At 49.3% G+C, this 9,374-nt stretch overlaps 1 protein-coding gene across 7 annotated transcripts in view, besides 2 other annotated features; it reads left to right on the top strand.

The window, feature by feature from the left end:
* The window catches only part of PCSK6 (proprotein convertase subtilisin/kexin type 6), a 185,775-nt gene that overhangs the window by 28,519 nt on the left and 147,882 nt on the right, over positions 1-9,374 (top strand). The window lies entirely within an intron of this gene.
* Positions 4,395-4,598: a silencer, noted in NCBI's record as "fragment chr15:101996796-101996999 (GRCh37/hg19 assembly coordinates)". NCBI's record gives its function as "represses an EF-1alpha promoter that drives an FKBP-Casp9 reporter gene in an ReSE screen in K562 erythroleukemia cells {active_cell/tissue: K562}" and the evidence as "EXISTENCE:reporter gene assay evidence [ECO:0000049][PMID:32094911]".
* Positions 8,131-8,425: an enhancer, noted in NCBI's record as "tiled region #2389; K562 Activating non-DNase unmatched - State 5:Enh". NCBI's record gives its function as "activates a minimal TATA promoter and a strong SV40 promoter by Sharpr-MPRA in K562 cells {active_cell/tissue: K562}" and the evidence as "EXISTENCE:reporter gene assay evidence [ECO:0000049][PMID:27701403]".

Below are 9,374 nucleotides of genomic sequence, written 5' to 3'. Positions count from 1 at the left end.
CGGTTACATCCTTTTTCCACTTATCATGTTATTTATTCGTTTGCGCCTTAATTTTTTTCTTTATCAGTGGTGCCATGGGTTTGGCTATATTGCCAGATTTTTAAAGAACTGCATTTGGCCTTTTAAATTCTATTGTAAATTTGTTTTCTACTTTTACAGAGTTCTGGTCCTAATTGTATTACCTTCTTCTCATTTTTTTTTCTTTTAACTTTTTAGTTTGATGCTTAATCCCATGAATTTTCAGCATTTCTCTTACCACGAACACCTCAGGTTACACACATCTTTCCCGGGGTCATGTCCACAGTTCCCATGAGTTGTCCTAAATAGTATTTTCATTATCATTCCATTCTAAGTATTTTTTTATCCCAATTATGATGTTTTCTTTTACCATGAGTTATATAAACATGTGTTTGTGAATTTCCAAATGTGTGACATGTTTAGTCTTTCTTTGCCCTGTTGACCTCCAGCTTAATTGCATTACAGCCAAAGACTATGCTTTCTTGGAAATCAGTTCTTAGACATTTGGGGGGTGTGCTTGAAGTCCTGGTACTGGGCTCAGTCTTTGAAAACGTTGTGTGTCTCTAGAGAGAAATGTTATTCTCTGTTGTTGGGCGTGGAGTTCTAAGTCTGCTGGATTACACCTCTTGACAGAGTGGCTCAGACCCTTTCCACTGCCATTGGCTTTTTGTCTAGGTGACCCTCTGCTACCCCTGTCCCTTATGGCCCCTGGAATCAGGGAGCTTATGTAGGAGGAGCAGGTGTTTGGGCTGGCCCTGGAGGGTGAGGAAGATTTGGCTTGATGGAGGTAGGCAGGGGGCCTGGGTAGAGGGGACAGCATAATACTGGTGAAGGAAGGCCAGGGAATGGTGTGGCATCTCGAAAGAGGGCCAGAGGGCAGGAAAAGGCTGGGGCAGGGACCAGAGGCCCTGGGAAAGACCCCTCTTTAGAAGAGGGGCAGGAGAGAGTCTTCTGAGGGGAGATGAGAGAGAGCCCACAGAGAGGAGGACACGGAGGGGTGGGGTTGGGTAGGCCCAGGCCATCGTGGGGGGTCTTCCTGGGCAGGAGAGGGACCTGTGTGACGGTTCATAGGGGCATAGTGGTGGCCATGTGGCTGTGTGGGGAGGAGGCCCTCAGTTCAGTGTGGGGCCTGGGATAGTGGGTGGCAAACATCAGATGGAATTTCACAGAACCTAACGCACATCTCTCTCCCTCGAGGTGAATTTTTCTTTACAGACCTGTGAATCTAAGAGATGATGTAACGCCTGAACTCATTTTATAACATCAGAAGTTTGCGACTTAAAAATGTTTCAGAAGGTGGGGGCGTGGGCTGTCTAGGGTTCTAAGGAGAACGTGGTTGAAACAGCTGCCTAAAGGGACTGAGGGTGTTGGAGGACCCGGTGGCAGGCGCATGGATGGAGGACCAGGAACCACCAAGGTCACCATGGGTGGGAGGCATCAGGGTGAGGGAGGGGTGTTGGTGAGGGGCCCAGCTGGAGCTGTGTTCATAGTTGCTGGGATGGAGGGGACAGGGCAGGATTCAGGGTGTCAGCAGAGTCAGTTACCTGGGAGGCGTGGCACAATGGTGATGGAGGAGGGGGAGCCCAATGATAGTGCAGTGAGGAATGGTGGGGGGGACGGGAATGGTGGCAGCTGGTGGTGTGGACTTAGGGTGGGGGGACGGGAACGGTGGCAGCGGGTGGTGTGGACTTAGGGTGGGGGGACGGGAATGGTGGCAGCAGGTGATGTGGACTTAGGGAGAGGAGACGCGGAGCAAGCCGGGAGAACTGGGTGGGCCTGGATTTGTCCTTTCCTGGTAGGATTACTGTGGCCACAGAATTTATTGTGCAACCAGGATGTTTCTAGGAAGTAAAAGGGAGAGCCTGGACACTTACAGCTGGGCAACAGGATGGAGGAAGCCAGCACACACATGATTCCCTGTGCAGGCACGTAGGGGCTTTCAGCTAAGCCAAGGGTGTGTGAGGAAGCACCAAAGGTGCAGAGGAGTTTCTCCCTTGTTTTGGCTTCAAAATAGATGTTTGTATATAATAGGGATTCCCAAGGGCTCAGTGGGCGGAGCTAGCAGTGAGGCTGGGAGAGGAGAGGTGGCCTGGAGAGGGTTTCTCTTCTGTCCGGAAGCCTTTCTCCCTTGGCTGAGAGAAGCTACACACACGCCACTTCTCTCTGAACACGTGGCTCGTGAACCACAGTCCTACAGCTGTCAGTAGTAAAATCCAGGCCCATCCAGCATGCTTGCGGGATGTCGGGGTGGTTAAATGAAATGGAAGGCAGTTTGTTTTTTCCAAGTGAGATGGATGTGAAGGAATTAGGTAGAAGCTGACAGAGGTATACCCAAAACTGCTAAATTTAGCCTGGATTCAAGAAAGAGGTTAGAGAGGTGGCATTGTGAGTAATTAGACGCGTCGCAGAGAGCGTGAATGATTGACAGAGTTTGTGTCTGTGGTTGCCGCTGGGGAGAAACAGAGCAGAGTGGGAGTCTTCGGAAGGAGCGAGGAGCCAATCTGCTGGGTATGTGGAGCCTTTGGGACCGTCAGTCGCGCTTCGGGTGCTGGGGTCTGTTTGCGCTGGAGAAGATACACATGGTGAAAGGGAGAGTGAGGCACAGTCCCTGGAGACAGACGATGGTCTGTAAATGGTGAGCAAACAACAGTCAGGAGCCTTGCTGGAGTCTGTACCAAGGGCCCTCCTAAGAAGCCGGGTCCTGTGGGGGTCCAGTGACTGTGTACAGCCCGGGGGTCCAGTGACTGTGTATAGCCCGGGCCACATTGCCCAGCTCGGGTCTCTACGGCATTTGGGTTTATGCCTCAGCTCAAAGCCTTGCGGAAACCCCTTTCAACATGTGCGCTGTCTGCTGCAGAGACTCAAACCCACTGGGGCAAAGCGAACACACAGCACTGGAGTTGGGTTTCACGTCCCTATCACCACGACCTGTGCCCACCAACCTAGAAATAGTTGGGTGAACTTGCTGGTTGTTTGCTGAGATAGTGCACATGGCAGTCACATAGGTCTTTACTGTGTCTTGCCTGATAGCCCAGCATGAGTAGAACAGCCATGGAGACCTCTGAGAGAGCAGGACGAATGTGTCTGACCATGTTGTTGCAAGCCACCTAAAACGTGGCTGGACCCAGCTCCACCTCTGGAGGGACGTACCACGGGCAACCATCTGTGAGGGTATTGCAGACACCAGATGTCAGCGCTGGTAGGGGGTAAGCAAACATCAGATGGAATGTGAGCATAAGAGATGACATAAGGCCAGAATGTGTTTTACAAAATCAGAAGTTTTGGACTTAAAAAATGTTTCAGTCTGGAATTGGACAGATAGCGCAGGCTCATTTTATGGATAAGAAATAAGTTAGTTTCAAGAAAATGGATTGCCAGACACGAATGGTATTGCACACCCAGAGGGGTGGCCAGGGCTGCCTGTGTGTGGGCTGTCCCCGGCACAGCTCCTCGGCTCCCCTCTGCCCTGCACCCTGTACTGTTCACCTTGGCCCTGTATGGCTCCGTCTAGGTGGGATTATCTTCCCCACAGGGGCCACTGATAAAGAAGCACTCTATATATTTTTAAGAATTGAAATCAAAGGGCAAATGGGATTTCTCTAACTTTGCAACTAGCTTTATTGCAATGCACTTCCCCCCACAAAGGGAGCTGCATCCTTGTTCTTTTCTTTAAGAAATACTATGAAAAAACCCAGCTGACCAGCCTGCGCCCTGGGAGGCTGGGGCTGCTCTCTGTGTGCCAGGCCGTGAGCCGAGCATTCCATATGCATCACGCCTCATTTATCCCCCTAGAAACCTTGGGCAAGGAAATGCTGCTAATCCCAATGCATGGAAAGGGAAGCTGAAGAGAAATTTAGGAACTTGCTCAGAGATCCTTTTCACTTAAACAGAGGAGTTGGGATTCAGATCTGGGTAGTCCTTGGCTCCAAGGCCCAAGACCTCAACTGCTGAGTTGAGATTTTTATTTATTTATTTATTTTTATTTATTTATTTATTTTTGAGATGGAATCTCACTCTGTTGCTCAGGCTGGAGTGCGGTGGCACGATCTTGGCTCACTGCAACCTCCGCCTCCTGGTTCAAGTGATTCTCCTGCCTCAGCCTCCCAAGTAGCTGGGATTACAGGTGTGCACCACCACACCCAGCTAATTTTTTATATTTTTGGTAGAGACGGGGTTTCACCATGTTGGCCAGGCTAGTCTCGAAATCCCGACCCCAGGTGATCTGCTTGGCCTCCCAAAGTGCTGGGATTACAGGCATGAGCCACTGTGCCCAGCCCAAGCTGAGATCTTGATACTCCCTCTGGAGTGTCCTTGGTCATGCAAGGCAAGGCCTGGGGTCCCTTCATTGCTACCTCCTTGCCTCCCTTTGACCCTCACCTTGTGTATTCCCCCTTTCTCTCCCCGGCTCCATCTTGCCTCGAAAGACGAGTAGAGAAGATGTTCCCTCCACTGCTAGGACTCCAGCTTCTAAGAATGTGGGTCCCTGTTTTTATCCAGGGGTGCATCTGGCAGATTGCCGTTCCTTGTTATGCCCTCTGAGAGCCCGGTAGGCAAAGCGGTTTCCTATGTGCCTCCTTCATCTTGCTGTGTCATGCTCGCTCCTGTCAGCCTCTCCCCTGGATCCAGGCCCTGGGCCCATGTGGGCCCTTCTGGGTCCCTCATGTCTAAAATACCTGGCTCGAGCAGCTGCCCAGATATTTGTTGAGGGAAGGAATGAGGGAATGGACAGACGCCTCTGGAGACCTGCAGTGGCTTGAGAAAACAAGGACAAGGGTTCCAGACAGAAGAGGAAGGAACGGTTGGAGCAGCCCAGGAGTCAGGGTGGGCGTCACTATTGATAAACGCACAGACGGTGACTGCACAGAGTCTCGTCACTGTGGGTGGGTCTTCACCAAGTCCCTGTTGATAAGCTGCTGTTACGTGAATCAGCACGTGGAGGGGACCATCCGTCCTTCCATCCCTGGAGTAGGATGATCTGTCTTCTCTTACCCTCCTTCCAAGCAATTACTTCTCATCTGTAAATTAGTGCTGCTGAAGTTTTACTTTGAGTATGCAAGTTCTGTTGAAATCATTTATTGGCAAATATTCCATAAGCCACAGATGTTAGTGCAAATGGGATGGAGAGAAAAGGCAATGTAGTGCCTCCCCGATAGAGTAGAAACTGTGGCCAGCAAGGGTGCAGAGATGGGCTGGGACCTGGTCCCCTGACTTCTTAGCATACAGCTTGCCGGAGAAATCCCAAATGCCATTTTTAAAGAGCCATATGAAAATTGCACAAAGTCTATTTTTAGTTTACAAGCCAAGATATGCTTTGCAACCGGGAAAGGATGTCCCTCAGTTGTATTTTGGTGAAGTCATGACAGCTGCCTCATCAGTAGCTTCTTCATTTTTAATTACCAGCGTGGGGTTGAGTCACAGAAGCAGAATGACAGTGCATGTTTCTCTGTGCCTGGTTTTAATTGGTGTGATTGAGTTGGGGCATTGATGCAGCTGGATGAAAGCTTTCTGTATCTTCATGCACTGGGAGCTGCCGACCTCAGCAGGGCAAGCTGTCACAAGGCCAGCAGCATAGGAGCTTGGTCACTGTGCCACCTGGTCAGCAGGCCTTTGAAGCCATCATTTGGGATAGGCTCCAGGATAAAAGGAAGCTGAGCTTGCATGGTGTTTGGCTGACACTCTCACCACCCATGACTGTCAGTCCCGGTCAGGTGACTCTGGCCGTCCCTGAGATGATTGCCACCTCCTTCCTGTGTCCTTGTTCCCTTTAAGGGAAACCACACAATAGAGAGGGGCCAAGGATGGGAAGCGCTTTCCGGAGCTAAGAGCTGTTAATAATAACAGCTGGGCAGCACTGCCGTGCTTGGCTGTGCCTTGGGGTCGGCTATGCCTTCTCCCTCTCAGGCCTCCAGATGCTGCTGGTACACTGGAGCCATAGTCCCAGCATCCTGAGTGACACAAGAGAGGTGGGAAAGGTGGGGACAGAATGCAGAGGAGAGTTTTTTGTTTGTTTGTTTGTTTGCTGTGGTCAAATACACATAATAGAAAATATATCATCTTACCTGTTTGTAAGTGTATAGTTTGGGGCATTTAGTATTTTCACGTTGTTATGCAACCATCACCACTGTCCATCTCCAGAACTTTTTTATTTTCTCAGACTGAAACTCTGTACCCTTTTATTTATTTATTTATTCATTCATTCATTCATTCATTCATTCATTCATTTTTTGAGATGGAGTCTCACTCTGTTGCCCAGGCTGGACTGCAGTGGTGTGATCTTGGCTCACTGCAACCTCCGCCTCCTGGGTTCAAGCGATTCTCCTGCCTCAGCCTCCCAAATAGCTGGGATTACAGGTGCACGCCACCATACCCGGCTAATTTTTGTATTTTTGGTAGAGGCGGGGTTTCACGCTGTTGGCCAGGCTGGTCTCTAACTCCTGACCTCATGTGATCTGTCCACCTGCCTCGGCCTCCCAAAGTGCTGGAATTACAGGCAGAAGCCACTGTGCCTGGCCTGAAACTCTGTACCCTTTACACACCAACTCCCCACTCCTCCCTCCCCCACAGCCCCTGGCAACCACATTCTGTCTCTATGAATTTGGCCATTCCAGGTACCGCATACAGGGAGAATCGTTCAGTATTCGTCCTTAGTGCCTGGCTCATTTCACTGAGCACAGCGTCCTCCAGGCTCATCTGTGTTGTAGCATGCATCAGAGTTTCCTCCCTTTTTCAGGCTGAGCCATATTCCATCGTGTGTCCCTGCCAGGTTTTGTCGATCCACTCAACCAGCCACAGACACCTGGGTTGCTCCCACCCCTTGGCTTTTGTGGAAAATGCTGCTGTGAACACGGGTATGCAGATATTTGTTCAGAACCCCGTTTTCACATCTTCGGGTACAGGAGGTATATATTTTTAAGTGAAAATTTGAAGATTAATTTTTCTAGAATTCCTTTTGATTTCCCTTGGGATAACTTGCTCTCAAGTGATGGTGTTTTAGGTATTAAAATGTGAATTTCCAACATGTCTTTCATAAAGACAAAATCTTATTTTTAAAAACCTTGTAGCCTCCTCCAACATGACCTCCCTTGGCCAAGTAGCCATGAGCTGCAGCCCAGCACTGACCCTTCTTTCTGGGGAGTCCAGGAGGGGGCCTGGCAGGAGCCAGACGGGCTCCCCCTGACTGCCTTGGGTGCTCAGTGTAGTTTGTTCTCTGATCCATGATGTAAGCAGCGTGCCCAGGTGTGCTGTGCACAGCCTTTGGTGCTCAAGGTCACAGACACAGTCCACTCTTCACGAGCAGAGCTGCCCTATGCTGAGAGTAGACCTGGACTCGTACCGGAGCCTCTCTCCCCTGGCAAATTCTCTAGATGAGACTTTCTTGAGGATAAGGCACCCCCTACTTCTCGCATACTCAGAAAGAAAAAAGTAAACAGTGGGCCTCCTCAAGTTGGGAAAGTCTCAACCAAATGTCTCGATCCCCACTTTCCAGGCGACAGGCTGCCTGTAGCCTGCAGGCATGTGTTAGGCAGGCTACACAGTGGTGGTAACATGTACAATGAGTTGCCATTATTAAAAACTCGGGAGAGCGCATGTCGGATCCAAATGCTGGCTTCTCTGGAAGAGTTCAGGAGATCTCGCAGTTCTGGGTTCCTGGAGCCTCCGCAGGCTCACCTCCTCCCTGACATGGGGTCCCAGGCTGGGCCCTGTGGGCATCGGGGGTACCTCACCCAACTAGAGAGGCCAAACATGGCACAGGGAAGTTAGCGAGCAGCAGGGAGATGTGGCTCAAATCCATTCCCACTAACACATCAGCTGCACAGGGGCAGCCTGCGGGGAGCAGGGGCGTGTGCTCTGCCTGGGGGTGAGGTATGGGCCCTGGGCACATGGGGCAGGGCCAGGCCTCAAGCAGCCTCCCTACCCCAGAGGTCACCTGCCCTTGAAATACACCTCATTTTCTGTCTCTTTTACAAAATAATTCCTGGATCCCACGGGCCCTCCTTTGATGGGAGGAAGGAATGGGGCAGCTCTGAGAAGCAGTCTGTCGCCGCTTCTCAGCATGGGGTTAGAGAAAGAGTTTTGTCTTCAGTTTAGACCATACATTCTTTAAGCTTTATTTGGGAAAGGGGCTAAAAGGTCTGGTTACCTTGTTTTATTACAATTAAAAATTTCTTTTACAATTTTTTGAAACAATCACAAACTTACAGAAAAATTGAATGCACAGGGCAAAGCTCAACTGACCCAGCGCAGAGAACCTGGTGACCCCGGCCCCGCCAGCCCCAGTGCTCCAGTGTGTCCTTTGCATAAACAAGGACTGTGTCTGCAGAGCCGTGCAGCACAGCCATGGACACCGGGGAATTCCACCGGTCTTTATCAGTTGTAAGGGCCCCTAATGTAGTAACATGTTCCATCTGTGCTCTGTGGGTAACCAATCTGCCATGTCCTGTGTCTTCACTTTCCCTGAGTGGGCAGCCTGGTTATCTGCCTGGACTGACATCTGGAGTAGCCTGTTCCCACCCGTAGCCCCACGGGCTCGATTCCACGTTCCCCCATGTGAGCGCCCTCCTCACCTTCTGAGTTGCAGCAGTGCCTTGTTCTGGGCCACCCCGGATCTTCCCACCCCACACACACCATGTTCTTCCCCATATGATGACTTTAGACTGGAATTTTTCAGGAAAAAGAAGAGTTTTACAGCTTATCTTAAAATTAAAACAAAACAAAACAAAAATGAATACTCAAGAGGCATTGGATTTAGGAATCCGGTAAAACAACTAATTCCAGACAGCCGTAAAGAAACCTGCAACCAGGAAATGATTTAAAATGGAGATCTTCAAAGTCAGGATTGTAGTTTTTTCAGGTAGCTTTTTGTAGACCTTGAAAATATAGGCCGAGACCACATGTAGAAATTAAACGTTCTCATCCGAAGCCGGACCATTTGGTTTGGCGACTTAAGGGAAGAGAAAAATGAAGTTTGCTAAGTAAGAATTAATGATTTCTCAGGAATTTTTAGGATGTTGAACAGCTTAATTGCATAGTTTGGGTGGATATGTGTTGAAGAAAGTAATTTTAGGAGACTGGGAAATTGTGCAATCATCTTAACTTGGGTCAGGATTGTAATTATTGCAATAACAGAATGTTGCTATGTGTATATGTGACTGAAATGGGAAGCAGTTTTTAAAAAATGCTTTAAGAAATAACAACAAAATGTCCATTCTCTCTCTCTCTTTCTGGACTTCCTTAATTATAAATACCAGGTAATCCAGTGCTGGCTAAATATAGGTCCAGTGGTCATCTATATTTATAACGTTTTTTTCAGGCGGAAGTCACTAGAGCAATACAGAATTAATTTGGTGTGTAGGTTT

This window comes from Homo sapiens, chromosome 15 (assembly GCF_000001405.40).
Source record: "Homo sapiens chromosome 15, GRCh38.p14 Primary Assembly".
Taxonomy (NCBI): domain Eukaryota; kingdom Metazoa; phylum Chordata; class Mammalia; order Primates; family Hominidae; genus Homo; species Homo sapiens.
This window is presented reverse-complemented; position numbering and strand designations above follow the sequence as displayed.